The sequence below is a fragment of the Homo sapiens genome, chromosome 6, assembly GCF_000001405.40.
Source record: "Homo sapiens chromosome 6, GRCh38.p14 Primary Assembly".
Classification (NCBI taxonomy): domain Eukaryota; kingdom Metazoa; phylum Chordata; class Mammalia; order Primates; family Hominidae; genus Homo; species Homo sapiens.
Genome location: NC_000006.12, coordinates 13,421,662 through 13,440,259, shown reverse-complemented (window position 1 = coordinate 13,440,259; position 18,598 = coordinate 13,421,662). Strand labels below are relative to the sequence as shown.

At 44.2% G+C, this 18,598-nt stretch overlaps 1 protein-coding gene across 2 annotated transcripts in view, besides 7 other annotated features; it reads left to right on the top strand.

Moving 5' to 3' along the window:
• GFOD1 (Gfo/Idh/MocA-like oxidoreductase domain containing 1) overlaps positions 1-18,598 on the top strand; it is a 129,771-nt gene that overhangs the window by 47,341 nt on the left and 63,832 nt on the right. The window lies entirely within an intron of this gene.
• Positions 7,274-7,323: an enhancer, noted in NCBI's record as "active region_24031". NCBI's record gives its function as "activates an Ori minimal core promoter by ATAC-STARR-seq in GM12878 lymphoblastoid cells {active_cell/tissue: GM12878}" and the evidence as "EXISTENCE:reporter gene assay evidence [ECO:0000049][PMID:35858748]".
• Positions 8,065-8,114: an enhancer, noted in NCBI's record as "active region_24030". NCBI's record gives its function as "activates an Ori minimal core promoter by ATAC-STARR-seq in GM12878 lymphoblastoid cells {active_cell/tissue: GM12878}" and the evidence as "EXISTENCE:reporter gene assay evidence [ECO:0000049][PMID:35858748]".
• Positions 8,953-9,012: an enhancer, noted in NCBI's record as "active region_24029". NCBI's record gives its function as "activates an Ori minimal core promoter by ATAC-STARR-seq in GM12878 lymphoblastoid cells {active_cell/tissue: GM12878}" and the evidence as "EXISTENCE:reporter gene assay evidence [ECO:0000049][PMID:35858748]".
• Positions 9,103-9,202: an enhancer, noted in NCBI's record as "active region_24028". NCBI's record gives its function as "activates an Ori minimal core promoter by ATAC-STARR-seq in GM12878 lymphoblastoid cells {active_cell/tissue: GM12878}" and the evidence as "EXISTENCE:reporter gene assay evidence [ECO:0000049][PMID:35858748]".
• Positions 10,922-10,991: an enhancer, noted in NCBI's record as "active region_24027". NCBI's record gives its function as "activates an Ori minimal core promoter by ATAC-STARR-seq in GM12878 lymphoblastoid cells {active_cell/tissue: GM12878}" and the evidence as "EXISTENCE:reporter gene assay evidence [ECO:0000049][PMID:35858748]".
• Positions 12,002-12,431: an enhancer, noted in NCBI's record as "active region_24026". NCBI's record gives its function as "activates an Ori minimal core promoter by ATAC-STARR-seq in GM12878 lymphoblastoid cells {active_cell/tissue: GM12878}" and the evidence as "EXISTENCE:reporter gene assay evidence [ECO:0000049][PMID:35858748]".
• Positions 17,498-18,287: an enhancer, noted in NCBI's record as "OCT4-NANOG-H3K27ac hESC enhancer chr6:13422205-13422994 (GRCh37/hg19 assembly coordinates)". NCBI's record gives its function as "activates a minimal SCP1, AML or CMV promoter by ChIP-STARR-seq in primed H9 embryonic stem cells {active_cell/tissue: H9 hESC(primed)}" and the evidence as "EXISTENCE:reporter gene assay evidence [ECO:0000049][PMID:30033119]".

Here is an 18,598-nt window from a genome sequence, read left to right as displayed (position 1 = left end):
TGAGATCGCGCCATTGCATTCCAGCCTGGGTAACAAAAGCAAAACTCCATCTCAAAAAAACAAAAAAAAAAGAACTAATGTTAACCCTTAAATGGAAAGACCTGGCACTCCGTGGAAGAACTGAACAGCCTGGAATGCTAGGATTGATCAAGCTTGGATATCCTATAACAATTATCATTGATTGCCAACATCCAGTATTCTTAATTTCAGCTTTAGGGCAGTATAGGGCAAGCAGTCAAGGTCTCAGGTTCTGGGATTAGAGAGGCCTGGGTTCAAATCCTGTCTCCTCTACTGACTTGCTTTTGTGCAGTGGTTCTTAGTCTTTGCTGCACATTAGAATTGCCCGTGAAATTCTTAAAACTCTGGATGCCCAGGCTGTATCCTAGAGCAAGGGTGTAACAGTCTCTAGGGGTGAATCATAGACATTGGTGTCTTTGAAAGTATTCTCCCTTCTTCTCACCCTGGGTAAACATGTTGAGAGCCACTGTTTAAGACTTGAAAAGTTTCATAGCTCAATAGTGGAGTTTCATCATCTAGAAATTGGGGATAGTATTATCTAACATACATGTTTCCCATGAAGATTAAAAGAGATAATACATGCATGGTGATTAGTCCACTGCCAGGACATAGTAAATGCTCAGTAAATGACAACCAACATCCCCAGCTCAGCTTCTTGAACTCCTGGCCTCAAGAAATCCTCCTGACTAAGCCTTCTGAGTAGCTGGGTTACAAGATGAGCTACTGTGCCCGGTGAGCTCAGTTTCTCTACCTGCAAAGAAAACTTCTGAAGTGCAAATGTGGTGGTTCCCACATATGCTAGAAGGGAGGCAAGGGAATGCAATTCTTGCATTTGTTTGACAGAGACAGTCAGATACTCTAAGCCTATGGTGTTGTTGCAGAGAAGCATTGAGGGAAATGGCTGAGCATCAGAGCCTCTTCTGACAACTGTGCCACTTTCTTAGACCTACAGGTACACCCAAATCCACTTGAAATTACAGAAACACATTATCTTCTTTCAATTTTCAGTTGTTTGTTCCTAGATTCTCCTTCTTATTGTGATAAGTTTTTAAAATGTGACTTTATTGTAGTGTTAGACAAGGGGCAGTCTTGAGAAAATTAAATGTGAGGAAGGTTTGGGGAATGTACCCCTAACCTTCTATCTAGTACATCTAGACCAGTTAATCCCTGAGTACCCTGATTGCAGAGATGGATGTTTCTAGACATGAAATAATGCAAATTGGCTTTCATTTCTATGATTCTGTTCTCATTCACTGGTATAAAATCATGTCTACTTATAGGATATCAATTTCTGTCAATGTTTCATAAGTATTAATTATAAAATCCATTGTGTCTGGATTAACAATTCTGCTCTCAGAACATTACCAGCTAACACCTTCACCTAAGTACCAGCTCCAGTACAGATTCACTTATTCAGGGGTTTTTACTGGCATTTATTAGTGCTAGGATGTTCACCACTGGGCTGGGGTATGGACTTCAGACCTCAGAAGGTTTGGGTTGAATCCTAGATCAGTACTTCGTCACTGAACCTTGGTTTCTTTATCTATAAAATGTTAACAGTGGGTGTTCATTTTACAGGGTGATGGGTGATGACGATTAGAGATGATATAAATAATATATATGTTGGGTCCATTATAAGTGCTCAGCAGTGTAGATGAATATATATTAATATTAATATATTACTAATTGAGAGACTAGTCATTCAGTTTTTCAAATTTAATTGTTTTCATGCATTTTTGAGAAGGTATAATTTTACATTCAGAGATGGTACTGAATTTTCTGTGAGGCTTGGGAACTACTCTTGAGTGGTTACAGGCTATAGTAAAAGTCTGTGTGTGATTACAATTAGCTTTCTTTGTAAAGAGGGTAATTGCATCCTCAGTTCCTCAACATTTTTGTTGCCTTCTTGCCTTCCATGTTGAAATGAACTTCCCTTTCTCTTCATTCTTATGTAAACACAATGCACACAGCTTTTGTATTCTAAGTTTTAACAGAAGATCACAACTGTGCACTGGGGGTATTCAGGGCTGGGTTCATCAATACTAAATCTTCAAAATCTCACTTTGGAATGGAAGAGGAGGCTCAAATTAGTGTATGCCCTTCGATCCTCCCCAAGTTCTTTGTGTGTAGCCTACTAAACCCTTCATCACATAACATCGCCATTTGGCATTTATATGCCTCATCCACTAAATTAAATAAATGAAATAACATGTTAAAAAGTGTGCACTGAATGCTAACCACATAGTTTGTATTTTTCTTTGTCTTTCTTTCCATATTTTATTTTATTTTTCTTCCTTCCTCCTTTACCCATTTTCTCCCTCAGCATTTTATTTCTCTGTAACCCCAGGGCCCAGCACAGCATAGCTGAAATAGATGTTTGCTGAACAAAGAATGAGTAAAGTATCTTTACTCTTGCAAACTCAAGTGCACCAGTAATGATTTCTGTCTGGTATATGGCAGTGTGCTGACCAGACATAGCAGTGACTGCCAAAGGTCATGATCAGTATTTTGGCCCATGGTGTATGCATTGCTGTATATCTATACACATCCATCTGTTACATGATTGCTAGAGGGTGGGTTTGTCTTTTTGAATGGGCTGATTATAAGAGGTTTGAACTAAAAAGGCACCAGTACTTTAAAAACAATGATAGCTGTTCTGCCCAACATAGTAGCCGCTAGTCACAAGCAATTATTTACATTTAAATTAATTAAAAGAAGATAAGATGAAAAATTCAGTTCCTCAGTTGCACTAACCACATTTCAAGTCCTCAGTGGTCACATGTGGTTAGTGGCTTCCATATTGAACAGCACAGATAAAGAGCAATTCTAGCCTTGCAGAAAGTTCTATTGGCTGCATGTGAGGGAGTGTGGAGGGATTTCAGGTGACTTTTAGAGTTAAGAGGGTCCTACTCAAGCCTGTCTCCTACATTTGCTGTGGTTAGAGAAAGGATGATTTCAAAGATAAAATCTTCAGCGAGGCTTGGTGTGTCATCAAGGGAACTCGATGATGGAGCAGGGAGAGGCAGAAACCCAATACCAGGTTGGGTATTGGGAGAGCTTTGAGAGCAGGGAGAGGCTTTGAGGGTAGAACTTCCTGACTTTTCATCATTGCCTTCACCAAGACCCACCTCATTTGGGTCAGCCTTTCCCTTTTTCTCATACCTTACTCACACTTTCCCTCTGAAAGTGGTTTTAGGAGATAAACACAACTTGGCCAAGGGATATCCAGGCCCTGCTTTCCCAGAGCCTCTGAGGCTGATGCCGTTGGACCAGCAGCTTGGCCTGGGGCTGTCCATATGAGCTGGCTCTGCACAAAGCTCTGAACTGGAGTTCTGAATGAACACAGTGCCTTTGATAGAATGTCACATAAAATGATCTCGCTTCATATTTCTCAGGCTAGCCAAGCCTTTTATAGGAGTAATCCGATAGCTCATCAATCATTTTCTCATATACGAAATGGAGAAAATAAAGCCACAGAATGATTAAGTATGTGCCCAGCAATTCAGCAATAGCGGTCAAGGTGAAAATCGTCACCCTTCACCTTTGCAAATCGACTTGTGGAAATTCATTTAGCTACATTAGCACAACTATTTATTGCAGCATTGGTTATAATACTGAATAACTGGAAACACCATATGTGTCTATGTAAATAGGGGAATGGGTTAAGTGAATTGTGTCATATTAATACAACACACTATTATGCAGCCTATAAAACCATAATTTAGATTTGCATATGCTGATATGGAAAGATCTCTAAGATACAGTAAGTGAAAACTTAATATGTGAAATTGAATGCAGAGCATGATCCATTTGTGTTAATTATGTTTAAAAGATAGATATTCTAGGAGAATATATAAGAAACTTTTACAACTGTTTTATTTGGGGAATGAACAGGAGTTGGCAAGGGAAAAACTTAATTTCATTTTATTTCCTACTGTAGTGTTAGACTTGTTTTAACAAGGAACATATTCATGTTTTACTTTCATTTTTAAATTAAAGTTTATTTATGTGCTTTCAAAATTTAATTTTTAAAAACATGTTTGTATACTTTTAGCTCAGGTAATACACACATGTGATTCAAAATTCAAAGGTACAAAAGAGTAAAGTATGAAATGTTAATCTTCCTGTTTCTCCATCCTCTGGTCACCCAACTCCCCTTCTTGGAGAAACCACTGTTACTCCCCGATAACAGAGATGAATGTTTCTAGAAGTCAAGAACGCAAATTGGGTTTCATTTCTGTGATTCTAGTATCTTGTAAATCCTTCCAGATATTCTACTCATGTAAGAGAAAGTTCATTAAAGTTAGTTTCTAATTATATTTGTAAACATGAATGTGTGCTAAAATCTCCTTTGACCATCACTCCTAACCCCTCTCTTCCATTCCTATATTTATAATATTAGGGTTTTAAAAACATAGCTAGCTGGAGAAGAAACCCAACTTTTCCAAATTTATTAGTCAAGAACAGCAGGCAAAAGTTCAAAGTTCCCAGCTAGCCTGTTACTTAGGGCCCACACTTTGTGCACAGGAAATGCTATGAAACCATATTATAAAGAGTCATTGCATGGTTTGGATCAAGTCTAGCTTCCGGGGAAGGCATGCAGTGGGCTTGGAGCAGTAGCTGTTTACCAACCAGCACAGAAGTTTCTCAACAATGCAACAACCTGCTTGGATGTACTGCGGGTCTTACTGGGGCAAACCCACCTGGAGGGATGGTGCCCATGACTGGTATAGTTTCTTTGGAGCTAACAGTCTAGTACAGGAAAACACACCATTGATTATTTAATTACAATTATAATAAGAGAGATGAAAGAGAAATAAGAGCATATGCCAGGGGTCTGAAGTAGTTCGTGAGTAAAGGAAGTCTTATTTGAGAGGAGAGTATGAATAGGAAATTAGAGAGGGAGGAAAAGTGTATTCCCGGCAGAGGGTACAGCATGTGCAAAGGTAACTTGTTCAGGATGCAAGTAGGGAATTAGCACCTCTACCACAACCAATATTTTACAGGTCAAAGACACACTCTTCAAGGGTTCTCTGCTGCTCTGTGTTTGAGTTCCATTGCTTGTTGTTTCTTTATTAGCACTCTGTTCCCGGGTAGGTAAATAGAGACGGCAGTTGTAGCTCAAGGCTGCAGTCCCCAAACCCCCTTCTGTAAGGACATGAAGGCTGGGATGTTTGTGAGTATAGCACAGAATGTGCTTGGAGGTGCTCAGAAAGAGAAAGCTCTAGAAAGGGGCAGGTCTACGGTTGCCCTGGAGGTGTTTGGTTTGAGACATGTGCCGCTCAGGATGTGTGAGTTTCTGCAGTGACCTTGCTGCCGCAAGTGGTCTGTTGAAGGGTCAGATGCTGGTTGAACATGTAGCAAATTCTCTAGGCCTCTGATTTTTCCAACCACGTTTTGCCTTGCTGTTTTTGGTTCTTCTGCTGTGTTCTGGCCTGTAGCCTGCTCTTCTGAGAACCTACTATGCTTCTATTTACTGTCTTCAAGGAGTACCTTCCCTGTTTCATTTGCCTGGCTGATTTTTACTGGTCTTTTATGTTTTGCTTTTCTGGATGTCTACTTCTCCTTCCAGTTCAAGAGTTAGGTGCTTGACTTCTGTGCTCCCATGTACCCTGCACTTAACTTTTGTGTTCTTATAATGCCCTGCACTTGACTTCTGTATTCCCATAAAGCCTTGCACTTGACTTCTGTGTTCCCATAATGCCCTGCACTTGACTTCTGTGTTCCCATAATGCCCTGCACTTGATTTCTGTGTTCCCATAAAGCCCTGCACTTGACTTCTGTGTTCCCATAAGGCCCTGCACTTGACTTCTGTGCTTCCATAATGCTCTGCACTTGATTTGTGTTCTCATAATGCCATGCACTTGATTCCTGTGTTCCCATAATGCCCTGAACTTGACCTCTATATTCCCATAATGCCCTGCACTTGATTTCTGTGTTCCCATAAAGCCCTGCACTTGACTTCTGTGTTCCCATAAGGCCCTGCACTTGACTTCTGTGCTTCCATAATGCTCTGCACTTGATTTGTGTTCTCATAATGCCATGCACTTGATTCCTGTGTTCCCATAATGCCCTGCACTTGACCTCTATATTCCCCTAATGCCTTGCGCCTGACTTCTGTGTTCCCATAATGCCCTGTCCTTGACTTCCCCGTTCCCATTGTGGCCTCCACTTGCCCCACACAGGCTGTAACACTGGCTGTGACTCTGATGCTCTCATAAATTGTGGTGCTTCTCAGGACTGTGTTTACTTCCTCTTAGTATTCAGGGGCCTGGTGCAGGCCTTACAATAAGACTATGAAAATGTTTGTTGAGACGATAGTCTGCAGATAAGCGCCTTTGGGAACTGGAACAGGTGATCTGTACGGGCTGAGGGAGCCTTAATGGGAGAGTCGGCTCTCTGACTGACTCTCATGGTTTGGGCAGAGGAGAGAGGAAGTTGTAGGCATTCTGGGTGAAGCTGTTGGCAGTGCACTGAAGAGAGAGGGAATGCAATGTCACCTCTCAATGCAATGTCTCTCTCTTCAGTGCACTGAAGAGAGAGGGAATGCAACATGAAGGACAAAAGAAAACTTCCCCCACCCCAACCCCACATGAAAACTCCCCTCAAGGCTTTCTTCCATGAAAGTCCTCCTTTAGCTTAACCCAGTGATGTTCAACTGGGGAATATTTTGCCCTCCAGGGAATATTTGGCAATGTCTGGAGACATTTTTGGTTGTCCCAATTGAGGAGCTATCAGCATCTAGGAGTAGAGGCCAGGAATGCTGCTAAATATCCTATGATGCACAGGACAGTCAGCTCCCTACAACAAAAAGTGACCCAAAGGCCAGGGCTGGTGGCTCACGCCTGTAATCCCAGCACTTTGGGAGGCCAAGGCAGGTAGATGATCTGAGGTCAAGAGTTTGAGACCAGCTTGACCAACATGGTGAAACCCCATCTCTACTAAATACAAACAATTAGCCAGGCGTGGTGGCAGGTGCATGTAATCCCAGCTACTTGAGAGGCTGAGGCAGGAGAAGTGCTTGAACCCTGGAGGTGGAGGTTGCAGTGAGCTGAGATTGTGCCATTGCACTCCAGCCTGAGTGACAAGAGTGAAACTCCATCTCAAAAAAAAAAAAAAAAAAGGGACCCAGCACAAAATGTCAGTCATGCTGCCATTGAGAAACCCTAAATTAGGCAGACTGTGGCTTAGCCACATGTTGATCATGTAGACTGGGGCTGCATGAGTAAATGTTGGATGTTTCTAATTAACTTGTACATGTGACCAGTGATGTTCTATGAGCAGTGTTATATGACCAGAGATATAGGAGAGGAAGCTGGTTTGGGGCAAGTTGCTGCTTTGTTTATTGACACTCTGTCTTCTGTCACTGCATGGATGAAGGTTTGGTGGGATATGCAGTTACAGTGTAGGAAGGGGAGACAGATGCACAGGAGACAGAGCAAGGTGGGAGGAGAGGCTGCAGTAGCCTCTGTGCTGCCCGCTCAGGGAACAACCATAGTGATATGGCAGGATGTGCACAGGCCACAGGCTGGAACCTCAAGGGAAACCGTGTAGCTGGGTGTTGTGATAACAGCAAGGTAAGGGACTGGATGGGGTTACTTTCTTTTTTGATGCCCTTTCCTGAAGTTTCCCTCTGGCAGAAGCGTCACCTTTGGCTGACGTGGAAATAGGAAATTCACCCTGTCTCCCTCTTCTGTTTTCTTCCTAAGGTTCTTGTCTGTTTAGAATACCATTAAGCTGGGCGTGGTAGCTCACACCGTAATCCTAGCACTTTGGGAGGCCAAGGTGGGAAGATCGCATGAGCCAAGGATTTTGAGACCAACCTAGTGAGATGCCATCTCTGCAAATAATAATAATAATAAAAACTATCCATGGTGGTGCATGCCTGTGGTCCCAGCTACTTGGGAGGTTAAGGTGGGAGGATCACTTGAGCCCAAGAGGTCGAGGCTGCAGTGAGCCATGATTGCACAACTGCATTCCAGCCTGGGCCCCCATCTCAAAAAAAAAAAAAAAGAAAAGAAAAGAATATTACTTAACCAGGAAGAAATCTGGTGATTAGTTGTGTGGAAAATGGCTGTCTTCTGTTTCTGAATGGACTTGTGCTGTTACACCTGTTGGTTTTTTGTTTTGATGTTTGCCTGCTCAGAGTGGGTTCAGAAGCCATGTGGTGTGTGACTTGGGCCTTGCTGGGGCTGAGTCACCGGGGAATGAGAACCCTCTCCTCCCTGAGCTGTGTTAACAGAGTAGAGGCAGAATGCTGCTGAGGAAATGGTCTCTTAGTGATTTTGAATACCGAGGGTGGAGAGAATTGCTTTTTTCATGAAATCTGCCGTTAGAGGCACAGGCTCTGAACAATCAAATATTTCTGCCAAGCTTTGGATTTTGAAGGCAGGCAAAAGGAAGGAGGGACTTTGGGAAAATGACTTTAATTAGAGATTTTTAGCTGGTGACATTTCATACTTGGTGCAACCTGGGAACTAAATGTAAGTGGTCATTTAAGTTTGTATTGAGGTGCTGGGTCCTTTATTGCTTTGGTTTCTTTCTCATCACAGATGAAAAGCTTCATTCTTAAAATAAAATTTGCATAATGCTAATTGGAGTAGGGCCGTTCAGAGAAGAGAGTGGGTGCAGTTTTTTAGTTAGAAAAGTGCCACCAAGCTCTGTAGCTAAAAGGGCATTTGGCCCTATTGGTGAGTGTGGAATTATCTGGAGGGAAGGCTCTTTCAGCGTATGACTTTAAAGAAAGATCACAGAGAAACTGAAAGTCCAAATGAACCTGTGTGAAAGTGCGGCTAGTCAAGACAAGGTGGTACCATCATGCTCCTTTTGGACGAGGAGAGAATATGAGTGGTAGAGTAGAAAGAATAGGAGGTCCAGGATGGAATCTTGACTCAGACTAAATGACCTTGGAACAATTGCTTAACATTTCTGAGCCTCAGTTTCTTCATCTGCAAAATGGGCAATAATAATAATCTTACTTGCCTAGAGTGGTAAAGATTGGACACCATAACCGTGTGGTACACAGCACAGACCGTGGCAGAGCAGGTGCTATCATCATAGTCCCCACCACCACTAACCTCAGGCCCATAGATTTCAGTTTCCCTTCTCCAACTCATTCTTCTTTGCAGAATATAACATAGTGATTCAAAATAAGCAATGTGAAATTAAATGGCCCTGATTCAGTCCCAAACCCAGACTTATTAGCTGTTTGACCTGAGACAAATGCCTTCACTGCTTTCTTTATGCCTCGGTTTCCCGATGTATAAATATGGCAGTGAATATCAAATGAGATGAAGCACATATAAGGCATTCGTATGATGGCTGGACTGTAGAGAGGGCAGGAGAAGGTTACCTGAAAAGTTGGAGATGGAGTGTCCTCAGGTAGGTATCCTGATGGGAGGGAGTCCTGGAGAAAGAGAGGGTGAGGAGTAGAGTTTGGTAGCGAGCCTGACAGGAGGAGGAGGGAGTAGGGCAGACCACCCAAGACCCACAGATAGCCCTGGTTTCCACTGTCTGGAGGCTGTGCTGGAGGCCACAAGGATACTTTTCCCTACCCGCTGTCCCACTACTCCTGCCATAGGTGGACTCCAAGAGCTTCTTTCATTAAGTCTTCCCCATTGTACACAAGCTGCCCGTCTCTATGGGAACCCCATAATAGGAGTGTTGAGAATATGGATAACACTGTGGCCAATCCCTGCACTCTGTTTATGCTTGATGCCATACCCTATGTGGCTCGGGTTCCTTCACAGTGCAATGGCTGGATTTTATTTTTTAATTTTTATTTATTTACTTATTTATTTATTTTGAGGTGGAGTCTCGTTCTGTCACCCAGGCTGGAGTGCAGTGGTGTGATCTCGGATCACTGCAACCTCTGCCTCCCAGGTTCAAGTGATTCTCCTGCCTCAGCTTCCCAAGTAGCTGGGATTATAGATGTGTGCCACCATGCCCGGCTAATTTTTGTATTTTTAGTAGAGAGGGGGTTTCGCCACATTGGCCAGGCTGGTCTCGAACTCCTGGCCTCAAGTCATCCACCCGCCTCTGCTTCCCAAAGTGCTGGGGTTACAGGCATGAGCGACTGCTCCCGGCCTGGCTGGATTTTAAAAGCAAGCATTCCTACAGAGTGCAGCTACACAGAAGCTGTGATCACCTTTTATAGCTGACCCTTGGAAGTGACATGGTGCCATTTCCACTGCATATTTTTTCATTAAGCTGGTCCCAAAGATCCATCCAAATTCAAGGGGAAGGACATATATTTCACTTCTTCATCAGGAAGTGGCAAGGTTCTGGAAGAACATGTGAGATGAGAAGTAGTGTGATCACTTTTGAAAAATACAACCTGCCATACCACTCTATACATGCATGTGTGTGTATATATATGTATAGTAGCATATTTGTATAATAATGTATATATTACATATCTATGTAATATTCATACATATGAATATATAAAACTTAAATGTTTTACAAAATAATACTTCCCTTATTACCTAGGGTACACTCTATGTTCTCTTCTATTCTTTTAAGAAAGATGCTCTTTGCCAACCCACTCAGTTGATTTCCTGCCACACTATTGTGTTGTGCCCTGTTCTATTTCTTCCAGATAGCCTTGGGCAAAGGGCTGTTTCTTAGAGCGCCAGTGTCTAGGCTGTGCTCAGGGCACTACCTGACTACGTTTCTGGCCAAGCTTTATGACGTCAGCAGTTCCTGTTGTACTCCTGGTTTTTGGCTAGCAGTAAACCCAAACTTTTCTGTCTGAGAGGACCGTGGAACTCACCCTCTCCCTGTGTCTGAAATTCCCTGAGGTCTTTGCATTCGATAGGCATTCAATTGCATTCAATAGTTTGTCGTTCTTAAAGCAGCAAGCTGGCAGAGCATCCTGGTTGATGGCATATAAACAAACCAATTCATAAGTACAGCCATTATTTCACGTTGGGGCCACACAACCCTTTGACAGCCAGTGTCTGCCGCATAGGAGACCAGCTCCTCCAGGCAGCCTGTGGCGCTGTTTCCCTTTACTGGCAGCTGTGCTATGGCCAGCCAGGGCTTCTCAGCCCAAAATGAGATAGCTCCAGTCTTTTCACTCTCATGAAAAGAACAGCTTCCCACCCATCTTGATTTCTGCTGGGGTCTTTCCTCTTTGTGCCATTTGAGAGCCACCTGGGAGCACATCTTAGTAAATATATGACCTGGGCTCATGTTTGTAGAGTCCTGTCTGAGCATCTAGCAAGCTGGCTCACGTGCTCAGGGACTTGGTACCAATTAAGACATTTATTCCCACTTTTCATATGGTCGAGAAGATGTATGTCCAACACAGTGCTTTTAACTAGGTCAGAGAAAAAGCAGGCGGGAAGCTATACATTTTACAATACTTAGTGGACCTTCTTGCTAGAATTAGTGAATGGTCAGAAAGTCCGCTTCTGATGGAGGGCCAAAGGGAGCTCTTTCAGCTCACAGCCGGGCTGTGGTGTTTGGGGAGGGAAGTTTGAGAGTGGCCGCAGAAGTACAGATGATCAAAAGCAGTACTCCTGCCGCCCGCCCTGGGAGGGGGCCTGGACTCCCTCAGGGAAGGCTTTTTTGGTGCTTTGGGTAGAGAAGCTGGAGATAGCAACTGTTGAATTTCCCCAGGCTTCGTGATTTAAAGCCCTGAGCCTTTTTCCATTGTTGTTCTTGCAGCGGCCTTTAATGTGCTGGGTGTGAAAGGGAGTGGAAATGAAAAGCCAGCGCATCGCATCGCACTGGGGGCCTGAGATCAGAAGGTGATGGAAAATGGAAATGTCAAGTTTGCGTTTCCACTGCTGGCCGCAAGGGCCTCAGGCGGCACCCCCTCCTCCCGCCTCGGCTTTCGCATCCTTCTCACTTCCTCCCCAGCCCCCCAGTTTTCACACGGCCCAGTGATAAGTGTCACTCTGGGCTGAGTGAGGCTCGTGGCTTGTCAAAAGAGGCACTAGGACGAGAACAGAGAAATTCAGCATGGGCTTGAGAGGCACGTAAAGGAACTGGCCTTCTAAAGACACCGCAGAGAGACCGCAAAGTGGGTTGGTTTTCCTTTTCTAACACTGAGAAGAAAAGGAGTTCAAAATTCACACATGGTTGATAGAAAAGACGATCTGTTTCCACATGGACTTTCCTATCTCTGTGGTGCCCAGGATGCTTAGACCTGTGAGTCTTTGAACCCAGCTTGTGTTGATGTAGCTCGGGGCACTGTCAGGCCTTTGTGCCCAGCCAGGCGTGGAGGTGTTTGAAAAGAGAGCCATCAACACCTTTCCATCGGGGACTTGCGATTTTTCTCTTTTGGTTGAGTCAACTTTGAAGTTTAGTAGTTCCTTCCCACGCTTGGTGGCCACAATGTCACGAGGCTCAGCCTGGTGTCGTGGGGCTGCTAAAGATTCCGTAGAGGCTGGAAAGGTGCCTGTCAGGGGCACCAGGAATTACGTACAAGTCTAAGGAAGCTCCAGGCTTAGGAAATAGTGGGATAAACCTTCCTTTATTATCGCATGGGATAATCACATTTGTGAAATGTAGATGTCTCAAATTTATACAAATTGAATTCTGAAAAACATCAGAAAAGTTTATTACAAAGCCTTTTTTTTTGAGACAGGCTCTTACTCTGTCACCCAGGCTGGAATGCAGTGGTACAATCACAGCTCACTGTAGCGTTGAACTCCTGGGCTCACGCGATCCTCCTGCCTCAGTCTGCTGAGTAGGCGGGACTAGAGGTGCACACCACCATGCCGGGCTAATTTTTGTAGCGATGAGATTTCACCATATTGCCCAGGGTGGTTTCAAACTCCTGGGCTCAAGGGATTCGCCTGCCTTAGCCTCTCAAAGTGCTGGGATTACAGGCATGAGGCACTGCGCCTGGCCAACAAAGTCCTTTTTTATCATCATGTTTTTAACTCTTCACAGTTTTCTATGTCTGTTACCTCACTTGAGCCCAGCTGGATTTTTGACCATTTGGATAACAGTTATTGGATTTTTCTGGAAGTCTCTACATGCATGTTCTCTGTTCAAAGGGCTTGAGGTGGACAAGTTATGCATGGCCTTCAGTTTTGGGAAGACTCTGTATGATCCTGATAAATGTAATTTCAAGATGATTATATCAAACTGAAAAAGGTGCATTGTGATCCTCTGTTACCTCAGTTTTGTCCTGTGAGGTCCAATCACACACAACTTCGGAGCCACTGCCCGCTTCCTTGTAGTTTACAAAAAATGCTTTGCCACGCTCATCACAATAACTGTGAGAGAGATATGATTATATTTCTGCTGTGCAGAGGAGAAAACTGAGGCCCAGAGAAGTTAAGTAACCTCCCCCAAGACACAGATATGAGAAAGAGATGAGACTCAAACCCCAGCCTTCTGGCACCAGGGGCATGTTCTTCCACCAACAGACACTGACAGCCGTTGCCAGAACAAGAGAAAGCTGGGCAGAAGTCGACACCTTTGGCAAAGGGCTGCCTGTCCTCTGGCCTTGCTGGTTGTTAGCCCCGCTTCTGCTCATAAGGTCCTGCATTATCCCTCGCTCAGGGGTTGCCTTGCGATGGGCCTGGTCACTCTGCTTCCGCATCCTCAGGGGGCTTGTTCCTTCTGCTTGTCCCAGGTGCTCCCTGGACCTCACCTACCTCGGGTGCCTTCAGAACACCAGCAGGGGATTCATTCACCTTCTTAGGGGGTAGAGGCCGCTTCCCGGGCGTTTAAGGGACAGGCAATGGAAGTGGGATCCTTGAGAGACCAAAGGACAGTGACGCAGAGGTCATAGTTACTTTCCTGGGAGCAGAGTAGGTTCGTGTCTGGTTCCTGGTCCAGCTCCACTTCACTGCTCCCATTTCCCTTGTGGCCCAGATGGCACAGTAAGAGCTGGAGTCTGATGAATCTGGGGTTGTGTGTGGGACACCAAGCCCCATTGACGCCTGTTTCTGTGGCTTCCTGGCTCTCATATCTTCTGTATTATAGGACCAGGCAGTCTGGGCCTGTGGCCTGCCTGGGGGCGTGTGTGGCCTTCTTGGCCCAGAACTCCCTCCTAGGAGGCACAGCCAAGCCAGGGGAGAAGGGAGAGAGCTGGAGACTGAATCATAGCCTGACTAACCTGCTTTCCACGTCTGCTGGCTGCCTAGAAAGCTCTGTGATATTTGCATCTCGCATCGTGTGCCCTGGAGACTTAGAGGTAGAGCTACTTCAGAAACCCAACTGGCACTGCCTGGCGTGAGCCTGCTTCTGTGTGAGCAGCATGGCGGAAGACCAAGCTTGTCCAGCCTGCAGCCCGGCACGGCTTTGAATGTGGCTCAACACAAATTCGTAAACTTTCTTAAAATGTGAATTTTTTTCTTTCTGCGAGTTTCTTTTTCTTTCTTTCTTCTTCTTTTTTTTTTTTTCCTAGCTTATCAGCTATCATTAGTATATTTTATGTGTGGCCCAGGACAATTTTTTCTTCTTCCAATGTGGCCCAGGGAAGCCAAAAGATTGGACACCCCTGGCCTAGACCCTTTTCCTGAACCTGGCTGTCATCATCATTTCTGTCAGAGCCGGATGGAGACTATTTTTAGTTGGCTTTCTGGGTGAGATTTGACAGAGGCCAGGATGGGAGATGTCAGAATGTGTATACTGGTGAGGAAGCTGCATGGGATGAAGATCTTGAAGCTTTCAGATCTGAATGAGGACTGCCAATTCTGGTTTATCTCTCTGAGCAACCCCATGAGGGACTTTAACAAGCTCACAATTTTCAAATAGATTTTTGAGCTGTTTCCCAATCCTCCTAATCCTGTCTATTTTAGCTCTGGCCTGGGGAACATCAGCCCCAGGGTAGTGGCCAAGAACACAGGACACCTGGGGCCAGACTGCTTGGATTTAAGTCTGGGCTCTTCCTCTTACTACTTCTGGGACCCGGAACAAGTGACTTAATCTTTCCGATCTCAGTTTTCTCATCTTTAAAATGGTGGCAACAATGGTAACTAACTCAACAGGTTGTGGTAAGAAATAAATGTGTTAGGCCAGGCTCAGTGGCTCATACTTGTAATCCTAGCACTTTGGAAAGCTGAGGTGGGAGGATTCCTTGAGCTCAGGAGTTTGAGACCAGCCTGGGCAACAGAGAGAGACCCCATCTCTACAAAATAAACAAAAAATTAGCCCAGTATTGTGGCATGTGCCTGTGGTCTCAACTGCCTGGGAAGCTGAGGTGGGAGAATAGCTTGAGCCCAGGAGGTCAAGGCTGCAATGAGCCTAGATTGCACCACTGCACTCCAGCCTGGGCTACAGGATGAGACCCTATCTCAAAAAAAAAAAAAAAAAAAAGAATTAAATGTGTTAATATATATAAAGCCCTCAGAATACTGCTTGGCATATGCTAGGTGCAATATAAATTTTGGAGCTGCTACAGTTATTGTTGTTATTATTATAATGTTTATATGATTTGTCCCCTCATGAGAAGTTCTCTAGATTGGATGGATAATTCCAAATTTGTTTTTAAAACCTTTGTAAAATTTCAAAATGATGCAAAAGTATAAAAGGAAGACTTTTTGAAAGAAAAAAAACCCTTGTATCAATGAGGAATAACCACTATTAATATTTTTGCATTTCTTTCTATATTCTATACATTTTTATATGCACATAGTTCTTAAAACAAAATAATGATTATACTGTTTTTCCAATTTTCTCCTTAAGAGCGTGTGGGTATCTTTACATGGTATGGAGTCTTCTTTGAAACCTGATTTTAATAGTTTTATGTTGTTCCATTATTTAGGGTAAGTATTAAAGTATTCTCTTGTTCACCTCCACATGTCCAATTTGTACTCAATGGGGTAAGTTTGAGAGGGAACCCCTTGAAATATGGCTTCTCTGTTTAAAGAGGATTTAAGATAAGCGTTGATGTGATCACCGTGGTCACCATCATCATCATCATCATCATCTTCCTAATGTTTGGCAAATCTGTTAAAGAAATGAGCATACCCAGAACCAATGCATCAGGGTTATGTGAGGGCAGCCTCCAACCCATTGTAGAGGCAAAATTTTTGGCCACTAGACCTGAGCTCAGCAATGGAGTGGTAACTCTCTGAGCCCATTATAATTATTTTAAAAAAAGGGTGAATGACCAGGCTGGTCACAGTGGCTCACGCCTGTAATCCCAGCACTTTGGGAGGCTGAGGCGGGTGGATCACCTGAGGTCTGGAGTTCAAGACCAGCCTGACCAACATGGAGAAACCCCATCTCTGCTAAAAATACAAAATTAGCCAGGCATGATGGCACATGCCTGTAATCCCAGCTACTCAGGAGGCCGAGGCAGGAGAATCACTTGAACCCAGGAGGCAGAGGTTGTGGTGAGCCACAATCACGCCATCACACTCTAGCCTGGGCAGCAAGAGCAAAGCCGTGTCTCCAAAAAACAAAAAAAACAAACAAAAAGAAAGGATGAATGACCATCTGCTGAGGATGCTCTTGCTTCGGGCGGGAGGTAGATCAAAAAGGATGTCTAAGGAAGGACTTATCTCTGAAATACTTCAAGTGAAGGAACTTCATGTAGGGCCATGTAGTGGGAAGAGGATGCCTTCCATATCAAAGTGGGCCCACCCCCGGTTCTGCTACCGACTCACTGAATGCCCTTGGCTCAGTAACCTGCACCCTAAACACCCTCCTCCTCTGTATGGTAAAGTGGACCTGACCACATTCTCAGGGCAACCTGCGACACTCATGGAGAGCCGCTTGCCTCGAGCTTTGCGCATGACAGGTCCTCAATGAACAGACCAACTATCATATATTTCAGGCGTGTCTGTGTGTGTGTCATGGTGCATGAGTTTCATCTGTCATTGGGAATCTGGCCTCAATGCTGGGGTGAGGAGTTTGGGTATTTATACGTTGCTTCCTGTGTGTCAGGTATGGTGTCAGGCATATTACACAGATAAATGCTCCTTGACCTAAGATGGGCTCAACATTCTAATAAACTCATTGTCAGTTAAAATATTAAGTTGAAAATACATTTAATATCCCCAATAAACCCATCTTAACATCAAAACATTGTAAATCAAACTGTTCTTAAGTAGGGGACTGTCTATATTTATCTTGAAATCTAACACTGTCTGGGGTTTCATTCCCTTATTGTCTTTTGGAAATGAGACAGACTTTCAAAGGCATTCACTTGGTTGGTTTTCAAGAATGTGTTCAGTAACCCAGCTGCAAGGGGGTGTCTCTGCCACCGTCGGACATGCAGTACTTTGTAAGTGGCCTGTTCATTCCTGGACTTGCTCTTCTACCTGGAGGATGTGTGTGTAAAATGAGGTACATGTAGGAGAAATAGCCAATTAACGCAAGCTGGGTTTAAAATAGCTCCTTGGGTGAACCTGCTAGTCACACACATTCACACAAAGCCTACCTCGCCACACCGAATTTCCAGAATTGTTAAACCAGGCCAAGACATTCCCACCAGGGCACTTCCTGTTTCACTAAGAGAAAATTCTTGCTAAGAATTCCTGCCCTCTGGTTCCCTGCAGCTTTCAGGAAAGCTTTTGTTTAAACAAAGGAACCAGCCTACTGGTATCTGGGTGAACACAGGCTTCCTACTTAGATGGAAATGATCTGAATGGAGGGGGACACGGGTTTCTTTTTTCATTCCTTTTTTCCCTGTCATCCACCTGAACGCTAGTGACTTACTTGCAAAGGATTGGAGTAGAGACACGTAAAAGACGTCTTGACTTTTGGGGAAGTGACTTTCTGCTTCTGTCTTGTCAAGGCATTATTTTAAATAAATTGAATAAGCAGGAAAGTGGAGGATGAAGGATTTGTTGGATGATATTGAAGCTGGGAGAAAATGGACACTCTCTGTGTAGCATCTTGGGGACACTAAGTGTCACTTGGTGGACCCTAGTTTCCTCCACGGGGTGGATGGGGTCTCAAGCCCCCTCCAGCTACGCCATTTTCTGCATTTGCAGAGTCAGATTTTCTCTCCTGAGAATCCGTTCGGACAGCATGTGTTTTAGGGTTCTTTTACTCCACTTGGGGTTTTTGCAACACAACAAAACATACAAATGAGCTTCTTGTTCATTTTGTTGTCACCAGAACCTAAGTATTGAATGGCAGCCTTAATTGGAAAAGGGCACGATTAGAAGAAAGGGAGAGAGTGTGTGTTTGTGCATGTGTTCTTGTCCTGTGTGTGTGTTTGTGAGTGTGTGTGTGAATGAAGGTGAAAAAGGGGAGGGGACCCAACCAACCCCTAGTTTTTCTGAAAGCCTGTTGATTTATTTTCTTCCTCCCCTGTGGATATATTTCTCCCCCAAAGGAATTATGTAGCTCATGATTTCAGATTTTGGCTCAGTGGTGCTTTCTGGAGATAAAACGCAGCCGTTGCTTTATTCATCACAGATTGTTGTGCCTGTTTGATTTGCAGCCTCCGGGAAAGGCCTCGTGTGCCCGGCAAATCCTCTGCTCCCTCACTAGAGATCCTCCGTAGGCAGGATGAGCTTCCGGCCTGATCTTCTCAACAGTCCCTTCTGTGATGTTCATCCTAGTCAGGCCTTAGAACATAATAGATCCTAAAAATGCTGATCGAATTACAGAAGGTTTTTTTTTTCACTTGCCTCTGGGAGGGAAGGCTAATAAA